Source organism: Homo sapiens, chromosome 3, assembly GCF_000001405.40.
Source record: "Homo sapiens chromosome 3, GRCh38.p14 Primary Assembly".
Classification (NCBI taxonomy): domain Eukaryota; kingdom Metazoa; phylum Chordata; class Mammalia; order Primates; family Hominidae; genus Homo; species Homo sapiens.
In genome coordinates, this window is record NC_000003.12 from 114,274,381 (window position 1) to 114,293,013 (window position 18,633).

Here is an 18,633-nt window from a genome sequence, read left to right on the forward strand (position 1 = left end):
AGCTTCTTGGAGCTGGGGATGGGGTGACACAAGTGCCCCTCTGGACACCACCACTGGTGCTGCTCTGTGTCAGACCTGAAGCCAGCACAGCACTGCATCTTGCTCAAGGCCCATGTTAACTACTGTCTGGCTACTGCGTGTGTTCACTCAAGGCTCTACAGTCAGCAGCTAGTGAATCCAGCTAGGCTTGTGTTTTTCCTTTCAAAGCAGCAAGTTTCTCCTGGTCCCAGATTCAGAGATGCCATTTGGGATCTAGGGCCTGGAGTTGGAAACCTTAGGAATCCATCTAGCGCTCTATTCTACTTCAGCTGAGCTGGCATCCAAGCTGCAAGCCAAATTCCTTCCCACTCTTCCTTCCCCTTTCTGCAAGCAGAGGAGTCTGTTCCCATGGCCCCCATGGCCCTAGGCCCACAGCAAGTACTAGCACTGATGTTCATTCAAGGCCCAAGGGTCCTTCAGTCAGTTTGTGGTGAATGTTGCCAGCCCTGAGACTCTCCCTTCGGGGCAGTGGGCTCCCTTCTGGCTCAAGCCTGGTCTAGAAATGCTTTCCAAGAGGCAAGGCCTGGAAGTGGTGACTCTAAGAGCCTGCTTGTTGCTCTAACCGACTGTGGCTGAGCTTGTACCTAAGCTGCAAGACAAAGTCCCTTTTACTCTGTCCTCTTCTTTTCTGAAGCAGAAAGATTCTCTTCCCATAGGCACCACAGCTGCAAATTTGCTGAGTCACACCTGAAGCCAGCATGACACAGAGTCTCACCCAAGGCCCACAGTGAGTACTGCCTGGGTACTGCTACTGATTATTCAGGGCCCAAGGGCTCTTTATTCAGCAGGTGATGAATCTTGTCAGGACTGGGCCCTTCCCTTCAAGGCAGCTGGTTCTCTTCTGGCACAGGATGTGTCTAGAAATGTCATCCAGAAGCTGGGGCCTGGAAGCACAGTGCCCTATCCTACTGTGGTTGAGTTGGCATCCAAGTTGCAAGCCAAAGTCTCCTTTACTCTTCCCTCTCCTGTCCTCATGTAGAGGGGAAGAAGTCTCTACTGCAGCTGTGTGCCGTGCTGCCTGGGGTTGGGGGAGGAATGGCACAAGCACTCCCTTGGCCACCTCAGCTGGTATCTTACTAGGTCATGTGCCCCCAAATCCACTGACTCTGAGTCCAGCACAGCACAAAGAGCTGCTCAGGAATTTTAGTACTTGTGGCCTAGACTGCCTTTCAAGTTTATTTAAGACCCCAGAGGACTTTTGCCCACAATGGCGAGGCATGCCAGAACTCAGTTTCAAACTATTCGGATGGACGATTCCCCTCTGGCTAGAACTGGTCTAAATGCTCCCTCTGTGGGCACCAGTTGAGTTTTCCCCAGTGTTGCTTTCCACTGTGACAGGCAGCACTGAATTCCAATGCAAAGTCTCACAATCTCTGCACTCCTTCCACAAAGCACCAAGATTCTCTCTGCATCATGTGATGGCTGTTGGGGGATGGTGAAGGGGTGCCATTGGCAATTCAAGACTTCTTTCCTATCCTCTTCAGTGCGTCTTTCAGAAATATGAAGTTAAAAAAAGGTACTTCGACTGCTTATCTGATTTTTGGTTCTATGAAAGTGGTGTTTGTGTGGATAGTTGTTGAATTTGGTGTTCCTGTAGGAAGGACACTGGTGGAGGCTTCTGTTCAGCCATCTTGCTCTGCCCCCTCCTCCTGGTACTCTTTCTCTTTCAGCTGCGCTTGAACACCTCCTTTCTTTTCATTTTGACTTTTTACTACAAGTTTTGAAAAGTAGAAGAAAGAGAATTATACCCATATTACTATCACCTAAACTTAACAATTAACTTTTTTGCCATATTTTCTCCATTTTTAAGAGTTTAAAAATTATAGACATTTCACACCAAAACACTTCAGTAGAAATCTCTAAAAAAATTGTCCTACATAACCACAATATTATTATCACACTGTATTAGTTTTCTAGGGGTTGCCATAACAAAATACCACAGACTGGGTGGCTTAAACAACAAAAATTTGTTTTCTCACAGCTCTGGAGACTGGAAGTTCAAGATCAAGGTGTTGGCAGGTTTGGTTTCTTCAAGGAGGCCTTTCTCTTTGGCTTCAGAGGATCAACTTTTTGCTTTGTCCTTATATGGTTTCCTCTCCATCTTTGTGTCTCTGTGTCCAAGTTTTCTCTACTATAAAGACTCTAGTCAGTGTGGTTTAGGACTCACCCTAAAGACTTCATTTTACTGTAATCACCTTCTTGGAGGCTCTATCTTGAAATATAGTCACATTCTGACATACTGGGAGTTAAGATTTCAACATTTGAATTTTGGAGAGATAAAACTCAGTCCATAACACACACACTTAATAAAACTAACAGTAGTTTACTAATATAATTTAATACTGAATCTCTAGTTGCTTTTTTACAATTGTCCACCAAATCTCTTTGTTCAAACTAAGAGCCAAACAAGAACCATAAATTGCATTTGGCTGTCACGTCTTCTAAATTTATTTAAATATAGAATAATCCGGAGGGGGAGGAGCCAAGATGGCTGAATAGGAACAGCTCCGGTCTACAGCTCCCAGCCTGAGCGACGCAGAAGACGGGTGATTTCTGCATTTCCATCTGAGGTACCGGGTTCATCTCACTAGGGAGTGCTAGACAGTGGGCGCAGGTCAGTGGGTGCGCGCATCGTGCGCGAGCCGAAGCAGGGCGAGGTATTGCCTCACTCGGGAAGCGCAAGGGGTCAGGGAGTTCCCTTTCCTAGTCAAAGAAAGGGGTGACGGACGGCACCTGGAAAATTGGGTCACTCCCACCCGAATACTGCGCTTTTCCGATGGGCTTAAAAAACGGCGCACCACGAGATTATATCCCGCACCTGGCTCGGAGGGTCCTACCCCACAGAGTCTCGCTGATTGCTAGCACAGCAGTCTGAGATCAAACTGCAAGGCAGCAGCGAGGCTTGGGGAGGGGCGCCCGCCATTGCCCAGGCTTGCTTAGGTAAACAAAGCAGCTGGGAAGCTGGGTGGAGCCCACCACAGCTCAAGGAGGCCTGCGTGCCTCTGTAGGCTCCACTTCTGGGGGCAGGGCACAGACAAACAAAAAGACAGCAGTAACCTCTGCAGACTTAAATGTCCCTGTCTGACAGCTTTGAAGAGAGCAGGTGTTCTCCCAGTACGCAGCTGGAGATCTGAGAACGGGCAGACTGCCTCCTCAAGTGGGTCCCTGACCCCTGACCCCCGAGCAGCCTAACTGGGAGGCACCCTCCAGCAGGGGCACACTGACACCTCACACTGCAGGGTACTCCAACAGACCTGCAGCTGAGGGTCCTGTCTGTTAGAAGGAAAACTAACAAACAGAAAGGACATCCACACCAAAAACCCATCTGTACATCACCATCATCAAAGACCAAAAGTACATAAAACCACAAAGATGGGGAAAAAACAGAACAGAAAAACTGGAAACTCTAAAAATCAGAGCGCCTCTCCTCCTCCAAAGGAACGCAGCTCCTCACCAGCAACAGAACAAAGCTGGATGGAGAATGACTTTGACGAGCTGAGAGAAGAAGTCTTCAATCAAATTACTCTGAGCTACGGGAGGACATTCAAACCAAAGGCAAAGAAGTTGAAAACTTTGAAAAAAATTTAGAAGAATGTATAACTAGAATAACCAATACAGAGAAGTGCTTAAAGGAGCTGATGGAGCTGAAAACCAAGGCTCGAGAACTACGTGAAGAATGCAGAAGCCTCAGGAGCCGATGCGATCAACTGGAAGAAAGGGTATCAGCAATGGAAGATGAAATGAATGAAATGAAGCGAGAAGCAAAGTTTAGAGAAAAAAGAATAAAAAGAAATGAACAAAGCCTCCAAGAAATATGGGACTATGTGAAAAGACCAAATCTACGTCTGATTGGTGTACCTGAAAGTGATGGGGAGAATGGAACCAAGTTGGAAAACACTCTGCAGGATATTATCCAGGAGAATTTCCCCAATCTAGCAAGGCAGGCCAACATTCAGATTCAGGAAATACAGAGAACGCCACAAAGATACTCCTCGAGAAGAGCAACTCCAAGACACATAATTGTCAGATTCACCAAAGTTCAAATGAAGGAAAAAATGTTAAGGGTAGCCAGAGAGAAAGGTCGGGTTACCCTCAAAGGGAAGCCCATCAGACTAACAGCGGATCTCTCGGCAGAAACCCTACAAGCCAGAAGAGAGTGGGGACCAATATTCAACATTCTTAAAGAAAAGAATTTTCAACCCAGAATTTCATATCCAGCCAAACTAAGCTTCATAAGTGAAGGAGAAATAAAATACTTTACAGACAAGCAAATGCTGAGAGATTTTGTCACCACCAGGCCTGCCCTAAAAGAGCGCCTGAAGGAAGTGCTAAACATGGGAAGGAACAACCGGTACCAGCCACTGCAAAATCATTCCAAAATGTAAAGACCATCGAGACTAGGAAGAAACTGCATCAACTAATGAGCAAAATAACTAGCTAACATCATGATGACAGGATCAAATTCACACATAACACTATTAACTTTAAATGTAAATGGACTAAAAGCTCCAATTAAAAGACACAGACTGGCAAATTGGATAAAGAGTCAAGACCCATCAGTGTGCTGTATTCAGGAAACCCATCTCACGTGCAGAGACACACATAGGCTCAAAATAAAGGGATGGAGGAAGATCTACCAAGCAAATGGAAAACAAAAAAAGGCAGGGGTTGCAATCCTAGTCTCTGATAAAACAGACTTTAAACCAACAAAGATCAAAAGAGACAAAGAAGGCCATTACATAATGGTAAAGGGATCAATTCAACAAGAAGAGTTAACTATCCTAAATATATATGCACCCAATACAGGAGCACCCAGATTCATAAAGCAAGTCCTGAGTGACCTACAGAGAGACTTAGACTCCCACACATTAATAATGGGAGACTTTAACACCCCACTGTCAACATTACACAGATCAATGAGACAGAAAGTCAACAAGGATACCCAGGAAGTGAACTCAGCTCTGCACCAAGCGGACCTAATAGACATCTACAGAACTCTCCACCCCAAATCAACAGAATATACATTCTTTTCAGCACCACACCACACCTATTCCAAAATTGACCACATACTTGGAAGTAAAGCTCTCCTCAGCAAATGTAAAAGAACAGAAATTATAACAAACTATCTCTCAGACCACAGTGCAATCAAACTAGAACTCAGGATTAAGAATCTCACTCAAAACCGCTCAACTACATGGAAACTGAACAACCTGCTCCTGAATGACTACTGGGTACATAACGAAATGAAGGCAGAAATAAAGATGTTCTTTGAAACCAAAGAGAACAAAGACACAACATACCAGAATCTCTGGGACGCATTCAAAGCAGTGTGTGGAGGGAAATTTATAGCACTAAATGCTCACAAGAGAAAGCAGGAAAGATCCAAACTTGACACCCTAACATCACAATTAAAAGAACTAGAAAAGCAAGAGCAAACACATTCAAAAGCTAGCAGAAGGCAAGAAATAACTAAAATCAGAGCAGAACTGAAGGAAATAGAGACAGAAAAAACCCTTCAAAAAATTAATGAATCCAGGAGCTGGTTTTTTGAAAGGATCAACAAAATTGATAGACCGCTAGCAAGACTAATAAAGAAAAAAAGAGAGAAGAATCAAATAGACGCAATAAAAAATGATAAGGGGGATATCACCACCGATCCCACAGAAACACAAACTACCATCAGAGAATACTACAAACACCTCTACGCAAATAAACTAGAAAATCTAGAAGAAATGGATACATTCCTCGACACATACACTCTCCCAAGACTAAACCAGGAAGAAGTTGAATCTCTGAATAGACCAATAACAGGATCTGAAACTGTGGCAATAATCAATAGCTTACCAACCAAAAAGAGTCCAGGACCAGATGGATTCACAGCCGAATTCTACCAGAGGTACAAGGAGGAACTGGTACCATTCCTTCTGAAACTATTCCAATCAATAGAAAAAGAGGGAATCCTCCCTAACTCATTTTATGAGGCCAGCATCATTCTGATACCAAAGCCGGGCAGAGACACAACCAAAAAAGAGAATTTTAGACCAATATCCTTGATGAACATTGATGCAAAAATCCTCAATAAAATACTGGCAAACTGAATCCAGCAGCACATCAAAAAGCTTATCCACCATGATCAAGTGGGCTTCATCCCTGGGATGCAAGGCTGGTTCAATATACGCAAATCAATAAATGTAATCCAGCATATAAACAGAACCAAAGACAAAAACCACATGAATATCTCAATAGATGCAGAAAAGGCCTTTGACAAAATTCAACAACCCTTCATGCTAAAAACTCTCAATAAATTAGGTATTGATGGGACATATTTCAAAATAATAAGAGCTATCTATGACAAACCCACAGCCAATATCATACTGAATGGGCAAAAACTGGAAGCATTCCCTCTGAAAACTGGCACAAGACAGGGATGCCCTCTCTCACCACTCCTATTCAACATAGTGTTGGAAGTTCTGGCCAGGGCAATTAGGCAGGAGAAGGAAATAAAGGATATTCAATTAGGAGAAGAGGAAGCCAAATTGTCCCTGTTTGCAGATGACATGATTCTATATCTAGAAAACCCCATTGTCTCAGCCCAAAATCTCCTTAAACTGATGAGCAACTTCAGCAAAGTCTCAGGATACAAAATCAATGTGCAAAAATCACAAGCATTCCTATACACCAACAACAGACAAACAGAGAGCCAAATCATGAGTGAACTCCCATTCACAATTGCTTCAAAGAGAATAAAATACCTAGGAATCCAACTTACAAGGGATGTGAAGGACCTCTTCAAGGAGAACTACAAACCGCTGCTCAAGGAAATAAAAGAGGATACAAACAAATGGAAGAACATTCCATGCTCATGGGTAGGAAGAATCAATATCATGAAAATGGCCATACTGCCCAAGGTAATTTACAGATTCAATGCCATCCCCATCAAGCTACCAATGCCTTTCTTCACAGAAGTGGAAAAAACTACTTTAAAGTTCATATGGAACCAAAAAAGAGCCCGCATCGCCAAGTCAATCCTAAGCCAAAAGAACAAAGCTGGAGGCATCACACTACCTGACTTCAAACTATACTACAAGGCTACAGTAACCAAAACAGCATGGTACTGGTACCAAAACAGAGATACAGATCAATGGAACAGAACAGAGCCCTCAGAAATAACACTGCATATCTACAACTATCTGATCTTTGACAAACCTGAGAAAAACAAGCAATGGGGAAAGGATTCCCTATTTAATAAATGGTGCTGGGAAAGCTGGCTAGCCATATGTAGAAAGCTGAAACTGGATCCCTTCCTTACACCTTATACAAAAATCAATTCAAGATGGATTAAAGACTTAAACGTTACACCTAAAACCATAAAAACCCTAGAAGAAAACCTAGGCATTACCATTCAGGACATAGGCATGGGCAAGGACTTCATGTCTAAAACACCAAAAGCAATGGCAACAAAAGACAAAATTGACAAATGGGATCTAATTAAACTAAAGAGCTTCTGCACAGCAAAAGAAACTACCATCAGAGTGAACAGGCAACCTACAAAATGGGAGAAAATTTTCGCAACCTACTCATCTGACAAAGGGCTAATATCCAGAATCTACAATGAACTCAAACAAATTTACAAGAAAAAAACAAACAACCCCATCAAAAAGTGGGCTAAGGACATGAACAGACACTTCTCAAAAGAAGACATTTATGCAGCCAAAAAACACATGAAAAAATGCTCACCATCACTGGCCATCAGAGAAATGCAAATCAAAACCACAATGAGATATCATCTCACACCAGTTAGAATGGCAATCATTAAAAAGTCAGGAAACAACAGGTGCTGGAGAGGATGTGGAGAAATAGGAACACTTTTACACTGTTGGTGGGACTGTAAACTAGTTCAACCATTGTGGAAGTCAGTGTGGTGATTCCTCAGGGATCTAGAACTAGAAATACCATTTGACCCAGCCATCCCATTACTGGGTATATACCCAAAGGACTATAAATCATGCTGCTATAAAGACACATGCACACGTATGTTTATTGCGGCACTATTCACAATAGCAAAGACTTGGCACCAACCCAAATGTCCAACAATGATAGACTGGATTAAGAAAATGTGGCTCATATACACCATGGAATACTATGCAGCCATAAAAAATGATGAGTTCATGTCCTTTGTAGGGACGTGGATGAAATTGGAAATCATCATTCTCAGTAAACTATCGCAAGAACAAAAAACCAAACACCGCATATTCTCACTCATAGGTGGGAATTGAACAATGAGATCACATGGACACAGGAAGGGGAACGTCACACTCTGGGGACTGTTGTGGGGTGGGGGGAGGGATAGCATTGGGAGATATACCTAATGCTAGATGACGAGTTAGTGGGTGCAGCACACCAGCATGGCACATGTATATGTATGTAACTAACCTGCACAATGTGCACATGTACCCTAAAACTTAAAGTATAATTAAAAAAAAAAAAGAAAAAAATAAAAAGAAAAAAACAAAATTTGCATAGGAAAACTTAAAAAAATAAATAAATAAATATAGAATAATCCCTCTCCCTTCTTTTTTCTCATGAATTGTCTTATTAAAGCGATTGCTCCACATTTTGCATTTTTCTTTTTTGCTTAATGGAAGGTAATTTAACAGGATCTATCCGCTGTACTGAGTTTTCTATAAACTAGAAGTTATGCCTAAAGGCCTGATTAGATTCTGGTTAAACATTTTAGGCAAGAACGTTTCAAAGATGATATTGTATATTTCCTCTTGGGTCCCATTTGATGGCATAGTGTGTCTAGTTGTCCCCATTTGAGTGTTTAGATTGGTCCCTGGTATAAAGTGGTGACAGCTTGATTTCCCCTTGAGCAATTCCATTTTTTCCTCTTGTGACCAGCAGGCAATCTGTGGGGGCTGCTTTAGCCCTTGGAACATCTGCTTTGCCATCAGGTTTTACCTAATGGTTTATGATCCTTAACTAAATCAACTATTTCATTATGGTTTACAAATTTATTTTACATTTATTATCTGAAATTATTCTGCAGAGAAGCACTTTCCCTCATCAACTGGGCTATTTAGTTACCCTTAAATAGAATTCCAACTGGAAAGACAGGATAAATTATTTTTACCTTCAATTTCCAATTTTCAGAAAATAAAGTTGGCAAAATATCGCTTCCAATGATGACACATGAAATTTGTTTTGTTTGTAGTTTCTATTTTTTTGTGTCATTTAGATATTTATGGCCTTTAATATATTCTTATTGCCATTTTTTTCATACTCAAATTGGCCCAATGGTTGGCCAGTTGTGATCCCTTCAAAATGATTTGTCTTTTTAACATAATCCCATTGATCTTTACAAGTTCTCCTATTTCCTACAATAGTGAGATATTCCAGGCTGGCTTTGTATATTCTTTGCCCCACACTTGGGGTGAGTTATTTGTCTAAGAAGACTTGGTTTCTTAAATGTGGAATATTTAGAAACCATAATCTAGCTCTAGGGATACCCATTGCTACTCGAATATTACTTTTTTTTTTGGCTCTTTCAATGGGCAGAGTCAGACAATACAGGCATACCTTGGAGATATTGCAAGCGTGGTTCCAGACCACTGCAATAAAGTGAATATTGCAATAAAGGGAGTTACACAATTTTTTTGTTTCCTAGTGTACATAAAAGTTATGTTTACACTATACTGTAGTGTATTAAGTGTGCAATAGCATTATTTCTAGAAAACAATAAACATACCTTAATTGAAAATACCTCATTGCTAAAAAATACTAATGATTATCTGAGCCTTCAGCGAGTAGTTTCTTTTTGCTGGTGGAGGGCTTTGCCTCTATGTTTATAGCTGCTAACTGATCAGGGTGGTAGTTGCTGAAGTTTGGGTGGCTATTACAATTTCTTAAAATAAGATAGCAATGAAGTTTGCCATATCAATTGAGTTCTCCTTTCACAAGAGACTTCTCTGTAGCATGTGATGCTATTTGATAGCATTTTATCCACAGTAATACTTCTTTCAAAATTGGAGTCAATCCTCTCAAATCCTGCTGCTGCTTTATCAAGTTTATGTAAGGTTCTAAATCTTTGTTGTCATTTCAACAATGTTCACAGGATCTTCACCAGGAGTAGATGTCATCTCAAGAAACCACTTTCCTAGCTCATTCATATGAAGCAACTCCTCATCCATTCAAGTTTGATCATGAGATTGCCAAAAATCAGTCACACCTGTGGAGTCCACTTCTAATTCTAGTTCTCTTCTTATTTTTACAATATCTTCAGTTACTTCCTCCACTGAAGGCTTGTACTCCTTAAAGTCATCCATGAGTGTTGAAATCAACCTCTTCCAAAATCCTGTTAATGTTGATATTTTGGCCTCCTCTTATAAATCATGAATGTTCCTAATGGCAATAAAGGGAGTTACGCAATTTCCTATTGTATACAATTGCCATTAGGAACATGCAACATTCCTAATGGCAATAAAGGGAGTTATACAATTTTTTGGTTTCCTAGTGTACATAAGAGTTATGTTTACACTATACCATAATGTATTAAGTGTGCAATAGCATTATGTCTAAAAAAAATGATGAATCCTTTCCATAAGGTTTTCAATTTACTTTGTCCAGGTCTATGAGAGGAATCACGATCTACGGTAGCTATAGCCTTATGAAATATATTTCCTAAATAATAAGACTTGAAAATTGCTCCTTGATCTAGGGCTCCAGAATGGATGGTGTGTTAGCGGGCATGAAAACAACATTAATTTCCTTGTATGTCTCTATTAGTTCTTTTGAGTGACCAGGTGCATTGTCAATGAACAATAACATTTTGAAAGGAATCTCTTTTTCTGAGCAGTAGATCTCAACACTGAGTTTAAAATATTCAGTAAACCATGTTGTAAACAGATGTGCTGTCATCCAGGCTTTGTTTTCCATTTGTAGAGCTCAGGCAGAGTAGATTTAGCATAATTCTTAAGGGCCCTAGGATTTTCAGAATGTTAAATGAACATTAGCTTCCACTTAAAGTCATCAGCTCCATTAGCCCCTAATAAGAGAGTCAGCCTGTCCTTCGAAGTTGAAGCCAAGTGTTGACTTCTCTTTAGCTCTGAAAATCCTAGAGGGCACCTTCTTCCAACATAAGGCTATTGTGTCTACATTGAAAATCTGTTATTTTGTGTACCCACCTTCAATGGTCTTAGCTAAATCTTCTGGATAACTTGCTGCAGCTTCTACATCAGCATTGCAGTTTTACCTTGTACTTTTATGTTATGGGACAGCTTTTTTCCTTAAGCCTCATGAACCCAATCTCTGCTGGCTTCAAACATTTCTTCTGAAGTTTCCTACCTCTCTCAGCCTTGATAGAATTGAAGAGAATAAGCACCTTGCTCTAGACTAGGCTTTGGCTTAAGGGAGTGTTGTGGCTTGTTTGATCAGCTAGCTATTCAGACCACTAAAACTTTCTCCATAGTAACAATAAGACTGTTTCACTTTGTTATCATTTGTATGTTAATTCACTAAATAACACTTTTAATTTCCTTCAAGAAATTTTCCTTTGCATTCACAACTTGGCTAACTGGTACAAGAGGCCAGGCTTTCGGCTAATCTTAACTTTCAGTGTGCCTTCTTCACTAAGCTTAATCATATCTAACTTTCGATTTAACATGAGAGATGCGTGGCCCTTCTTTTCACTTGAACATTTAGAGGCCACTGTAGGGTTATTAATTGACCTAATCTCAATATTGTTGTGCCTCAGGGAATAGGGAGGCTTGAGGAGAGGGAGAGAGATGGGGAAATGGCCAGTTGGTGAAGCAGTTGGAACACACAATTTTATTAATTTTGCTATCTTATATGGGCCTGGTTTGTGGTACCCCAAAACAATCAGAATAGTAATGTCAAAGATCACTAATTACAGATAACCTTAACAGATACAATAATAATGAGAAAGTTTGAAATATTGTGAAAATTACCAAAATTTGACACAGAGACATGAAGTGAGCACACGCTGTTGGAAAAAGGGTGCTGATTAACTTCCTCTATGCAGGGTGGCCACAAACTTTCCATTTGTAAAAAACGCAGTATCTACAAAGTGCAATAAAGTGAAGAGCAACAAAATGAGATATGCTTGTCTATGTATTCTTTAAAATCATGACTTTGTAATGATAGTTCAAATTCAAATTTAACACTACAGAGAGTTTTACTTAATTATTTGAGTTTATATTTATAAATATCTATTTTCTTTCAAGCTGAAAATCTTGATTTCTAACAATATAATTATTTATTTGTTGTATTATTTCAAAATAACAATGCAACTGAATGAATTGATTATATATACTTTTATTTTTTATCCTAGATTATAGCCCATCAAAGAAATACACAGTGCTAAGTTTCAAACTCAGTTGACATAATTATTTTTTTCTGTATGATTGTTATTAATTTTATATATGATTAATTTCTTTTTTCCTTTAATTTTAGGAATGGCTTTTCCTTTTTTATACTACACACACACACACACACACACACACATATCTCAGTCCATTTTGACTGCTATAACAAAATATCTTAGATTGGGTAATTTATAAACAACAGAATTCTATTGCTCATGGTTCTGGAGGTTGACAAGTCCAAGATGGAGCCACCAGCAGATTCAGAGCCTGATGTGGGCTGGTTCCTCATGGATTGTGTCTTTTAGCTGTGTTTTCACATGGTGGAAGGGGCTAAGAAGATCCTTGAGGTTTCTTTAATAAGGGCACTAATTCTATTCATGAGGGCTCTACGCTCACTGCTAAATCATTTTCCCAAAGGCCACAACTCTTAATATTGGCACATTGGGAATTAGATTTCAACATATGAAGTTTAGAGGAACTCATTCAGACCATACCAATATGTATTTTTTTAAAATATGTAAAAGCATCACGTTTTAGAAGTTAAAAGCTATAATTAAGAAGTTTTTCTTCCTTCCCAGTCATCTCTCTCCTCACCTGCTTGCCTTTTACCTAAATGTAACCAATTATTAGAATTAATTTCTGGTTAATTCTTACAGTTTTTCTTATTACAAATATAGGTAAATTTGTAGTCATAGTCTTACACTCCTTCACTCTTTCCCACAAAGGTAGCATACTATACACGTTTCAGCATCTTGCTATTTCACCTAACAATATCTTCTAGGGATCATTTCATACAAATTTATTGAGATCATCCTCATTATTTTTATGGATACCTAATTCTCCATCATGTGGAGGTACCACAGTTTATTGAACCATTCCTCTACTGGTGAACATTTGAGCTGTTTCCTTTTTTTTTTCTAGTACAAATATGCCTCATGAATAACTTTGTGCATGTATCATGTTGCATTGGTACAGTTATATCTTTAGAATTCTAGAAGTGGGATTTCTGGCCAAATAATAAACACAGCTGTGATCTTGATAGATATTGACATACTCTCCTCCAAGGGAGTGGTATCATTTTGCATTCCTAACAACAATATATGGTGGTACTTGTTTATCTGCGGCCTTACCAATAGAATATATTGTTAAAATTTTGATTTTTGCCTGTTTGGTGGGGAGGTAGCATGGTGTAGTCTTGATGCTCGTCTCTCTATGACTGAAGTTGAGGAGTTTTCCATTTGTTTAAGGAATATTTGTATTTCGTTTTCTATGAACTCTCAGTTCAGGTCTTTGGATATGTTCGGAATTCGTCTTTTTCTTCTTCAATTCTAGGAACTATTTATGTTAAAGAGCTTAATCATTTGGCTGTGAAATAAGTTCCAAATAATCTTTTTAGTTTGTCACTTGTCTTTTGACTTTTACAATGTTATATGAACGCAAAAGCCTTTTTAAAAAACTTCATATAATCAAATTCATCACAAAATTTTATCTATGGATTCCAGATTTTTAGTGAAGTTAAAAGACTCTCTACTTTCAGATTTTAAAGGAATTCACTTATGTCATATTTTCTTTTAGTATTTGTAGAATTTCACTTAAACACATAAAGGACAGCTGACTCAAATTTTCTTCTTTTGGCTTTTGTGCATTTCTTATTAAACTTATTCCTAAGTATTCTGTACTTTTTTTTTTTTTTGCTGTGATTATAGATGGAGGCTGTCTTTCAAAACACTTTCTGATTAATTATTGCTGTGAATATAGAAAGACTGTTCATGTGTATGAATTTTATATCTTGTTAATTTTCAGAATTCTTTTATTGTTTATGATATTTTCCATATTGATTCCTTTGGGTTTTCCACACATATATAATCATCTATAGCTAGAAATAGTTTTGTCTCCTTATTTATAATTCTTATACCTCTAAATGCTTCTCTTACTTAATTAAATTGGCTAATATTTCCAGTAAGTTGTTAACCAGTCACAGTAATAATGGGTACCCTTTCCTGACTTTAGTAGGAATACCTCTAGCATTTCTCCATCAAAACAGATGCTAGTTTGGGGCTAATTTTACATGTGTGTGTGTACAAATAATTTACACACACACATGTAAAAATAATTTTTTTACATTGTGTGAAAAAATAATTTACAGATTCTTCTTTCACTGAATTTAAAAACAATTGGTCAGGCCAGGCACTGTGGTTTAAGCCTGTAATCCCAGCACTTTGGGAGGCTGAGGCGGGTGGAGTTTGAGACCAGCCTGACCAATATGGTGAAACCCCATCTCTACTAAACACAAAAAATTAGCTGGGCGTGGTGGTGCATGCCTGTACTTGGGAGGCTGAGGCAGGAGAATCGCTTGAACCCGGGAGGTGGGAGTTGCAGTGAGCCAAGACTGTGCCATTGTATTCCAGCCTGGGCAACAAGAGAGAAACTCCATCAAATAAATAAATAAATAAATAGGTCATGGGGATTGATTTCATCAGATTGCTTATCAGAATCAAAGGAAATGATTATAGGCTTTGAAAAATATAGACCTTATATTTATTATTAGTGGATTTTGCAATATTGAATCATTCTTGCTACCCTGGAATAAACCCTACCTGGTGATTATGTATTTTGTTTAATATATTATCGGACTCTGCGTAACAATATTTAGAATTTTTTCCTCAACATATGGAAGTGAGATTCAAATCTGGTGTTCTTTAATTGTGTGCAATCTTAATCACTTTAATATCAGTTTTGAATTCATATCATAAAACTAATGAAGAAGGCTTTATGTTCTATGTCTGTATATTTTAAGTAACATTGAAATTATCTGCTCTTCAGAAGTTTGTTGTAGTCTCTTTGTGAAATCTTCTAGGTATGGCATTCTTTTTGCTGGGGACAGGAGGAGCTCTTGATGCTTGAGGGAGTCTTGGAATGATATGTTCACGTGTACTTCTATCCCAGTCCTAGTTGTCTTGGATGACTGAGGGCTCTAGGTAAGAGGAAGAAGGAAAGAAGTGTCCAGGGGTAGAGGCTACCTTTCCCAAGGAAGATGGGGCCGGGATGGATTGATAGTATAAAGGACTGAGAGTAACAATGATTCTTTGCTTGACCAAACTTTGTCAGCAAAGTTTGTCCTGAACCTTCTCCTAGGCCCATCCATGCACTTCCTTGTAAAATCCATTTTTTAGCCAAGAACAAGGATAAATCAGTTTTGCAAGAACCCCTATCCCCCTGTATCTGATCACCCTTGATATCTTATCAGGTTTCTCATCCTCCACCATTTCTCAGTTCATGTCTGATCTACCCTGGCCTGTCTTTAGCAAGAATCCTATTAGGTCAGTTTAGCCAGAATCTTCCTTACACGTGATGTTCCCTCTTAGCACTTTTCCATCCACTGACCCCCACTCTGCTTCTTGGTGATAAATTCCCATTGCCCATGCTGTATTCAGAATTGAGCCCAATCTCTCCCCCACTGCAAAATCCCATTGCCTTGGTCTCTATACCTATTGTGATGGTCCTGAATAAAGGCTGCCTTACCTTTAAGAAGTGTCATTGCCTAAGTTGTCTAATTATACGATAGTTTAATCCCATCTAGAATAGAGGAGGAGAAGGAGGGAAGCAATGTGGGTGTGTAGGAGGGTTGTGAAGAGAGGCGGCAGGAGAGGCCTAAGCTGAGAGGATCAGCCGCCTCTTCCCAAAGATTTTTCTTCTGACTTTGCATTCCAACCTATCCTAGGGGTCTCTGTCCTATTTTCACAGCTGGAAAGAAGAAAGAAATTTCCCATAGTCGGTTGAACTTCTTGGCAGCCTTGGAGGATGGAGGAGATAGATCCTCAGAGCCACCTCACGGGAGGGAGTTTTGACAAACAGAAGTCAGCGGTCCCACTCCCAAGTTCTCCTCATTTGTATTTGCCAGTGTCAGCCAAGTCCCATGGCTTGTTAATAAGCCTCAGATCACGGGCAGTCCTTTCGCGTGGAGTCTGATTTTCTGAGGCAGCTCTCTCCACAAGTGGCTTTGGAACTCCATCACTCAGGCCGCCCCACTGTGAGGAAGCTTGGCTAAGGCTGTGAGACAGCTGGGGGTGATGGGACACAGGGCGGGCCCTTCCTGGTGCCTGGGGCGGCCAGGTCCCCTTGTCCCCCCTGTGTCAGGGCTCCCGTGCTTCCTCGCCCTTCTCTCCTAACATCTAAGGCAGGAGGCAGGGCCTTCTCGCCCCCCGCCATAATATAACCTGCCACCAGGAGGCGCTGTTCTACAGGATGGAGAGTGGGGAGCTTGGAGGAGAGAGCACGACCCCCTGCTGCTGCCGCAGGATGTTGCCCTTGATTCTAGGCAGAGACAGGAGGCATCAGACAGCTGTGACAGCCATGGAGCTCCCCTACCACTTCTGAGCCAGAGGGAAGACTTTGGAGAAGCAGAAGCCCAAAGACACTGCTGGGAGATTGGTCTGTGCTCTGGGAGAACCCTAGGTTGTGTTTCCCGTGTACAAGCCACCGATCTTGTGGAAGGTACCACCACTCCCAGCCCCGCTTGGCTGAGGGCTGCGGGCCACAGGTTTTCAGGACCGTGCTTGTGGTTGGAGGCTGTGGACTCAAGTGCGGCTGGCCCGGGACTTTCACAGGGCGCAGGGCGGGCTAGGGGAAGGCCCAGCTGTGAACTGATAAGGGGGTTTTACAGTCTAGGCCAGCACTTCTTCCCCTTTCACGGGCAAACGTGACATTCTTTTTCAGCACCTGTACTCACCCAGCTGCATCAAGGCGGACCAGACTTGTCCAACTCACAGCCCCAAAAGTCAGGGCAGAATAAAGCACAGTGGCTGATTTTAGCATTTTTAAAATAGAAATGTGAGTCAGCACCTGATGGACCTCACAGATCCCTGCTATGCCACGAGGGCTGCTGACTGGCCTTAAAAGCTCAGGGTGGCCCGGGGAGCTCTCAGAGCAGGCCTGCTTCTCACAGCTGAGCCGCTCAGTGCTGGGGGCTGGTGTTGAGTGGGTGGGAACCAGCCAGGTTCCCCGTGGAGTCTGTGCAGGAGGCTCTGGAGGGTCTGGGGTAGATTCCCTGGGGAGAGACTTCTGTCATTTGCTTTCCTCCAAGGCAGCCTCAGGGTCTAGCTGGCAAGTGGTCACTTTCCTGCAGAAACATGCTATCCTCCTGTTCTATCAGATAAGGAGGGCAGAATGAAGAGGTTGGGTGGAACCCTGGCCTTGGAGTCTGGAGACTAGGATTTTACTCTTGACAAAGCACATTATATAGATAGGGATATTGTCCTCCAATTTTCCTTTCACTTCCTTAATTAATATTGTTATCAATACTACTGTTGATGTATTGAACTCCTGCCATCTTCCAGGCACTGTGCTGAACACTTCACCAAACACTAGAGAATTAAATCCTCACAACCCTATGAAAGAGGTACTCTTATTCCTATATGCACATGGGGAAACTGAGCCTTCAGGAGGTTGAGAAAGTTTTCCAAGGTCACCAAACAGGATGACTTTGGACCCAGTCTGTTAATCATCCCCCTCTAGAGCACCATTGATCAAAATGGACTTGACCATATTCCTCTTTGGACTGGTTACTTAGCAAAAAACAGAAAAATTATTTAACAATTGTTTAAAACCACCTCTAAGTTTCTCTGGATATCTCATTATATAAGAGAGGTCTCACCTCTTTGGCTCCCACCCAGCTCAACTATGGAAACACAGGCTGTAAATTTTTATAGCCCAAATCCTAGTGTCCACCACTTTCTGTGCTCTAGTCCCACTAGCTGCTCTTGGCCCTGCCACTCCTGGCTCCCCGGCCTTAGTGAGTTTGGGAAACATCCCTCCAGTTCAACCTTGGCACCTTCCCTTGGACACACATTAGGTATTATTTCTCCTTCAGCTGAAGGCTTTGTAGCTATTGAAAGGCAAGGCATCTCTTGATGTGAGCCTTGAAGGACAGGTTGCTTTGGGTAGGCAGAGAGAAGCTGGTAAGGCGTATATTGTCTAAGGGTCTGGAGGTGGGGTATAAGGGGTATACAAGTCATAGAGTTGGGGATAGGCAGAACCCAGAGAGGGGAGAAAACTGGCCTGAGATAGAAGACCTTGCAAGGGAGAAGGAGGGTAGGAGCCTGGATGGTGTGAAATGCTAGAGGTGCATGGCTGGAATGGAGGGGGTGGGGCACCAGGCTTCAGATGCTTCTGGGTGCAGATGCAGATTTTCAGGATGTACAACATGGAGCAT

The 18,633-nt window shown here is 41.2% G+C and overlaps 5 annotated features.

Annotated features, from left to right (window-relative positions):
• Positions 275-1,474: an enhancer, noted in NCBI's record as "MED14-independent group 3 enhancer chr3:113993502-113994701 (GRCh37/hg19 assembly coordinates)". NCBI's record gives its function as "activates an origin of replication core promoter dependent on BRD2, BRD4, P300/CBP and CDK7 cofactors, and independent of MED14, by STARR-seq in HCT116 cells {active_cell/tissue: HCT116}" and the evidence as "EXISTENCE:reporter gene assay evidence [ECO:0000049][PMID:35650434]".
• Positions 15,960-16,903: an enhancer, noted in NCBI's record as "H3K4me1 hESC enhancer chr3:114009187-114010130 (GRCh37/hg19 assembly coordinates)". NCBI's record gives its function as "activates a minimal SCP1, AML or CMV promoter by ChIP-STARR-seq in naive H9 embryonic stem cells {active_cell/tissue: H9 hESC(naive)}" and the evidence as "EXISTENCE:reporter gene assay evidence [ECO:0000049][PMID:30033119]".
• Positions 15,960-17,846: a biological region, named in NCBI's record as "H3K4me1 hESC enhancers GRCh37_chr3:114009187-114010130 and GRCh37_chr3:114010131-114011073".
• Positions 16,767-17,006: an enhancer, noted in NCBI's record as "active region_20269". NCBI's record gives its function as "activates an Ori minimal core promoter by ATAC-STARR-seq in GM12878 lymphoblastoid cells {active_cell/tissue: GM12878}" and the evidence as "EXISTENCE:reporter gene assay evidence [ECO:0000049][PMID:35858748]".
• Positions 16,904-17,846: an enhancer, noted in NCBI's record as "H3K4me1 hESC enhancer chr3:114010131-114011073 (GRCh37/hg19 assembly coordinates)". NCBI's record gives its function as "activates a minimal SCP1, AML or CMV promoter by ChIP-STARR-seq in naive H9 embryonic stem cells {active_cell/tissue: H9 hESC(naive)}" and the evidence as "EXISTENCE:reporter gene assay evidence [ECO:0000049][PMID:30033119]".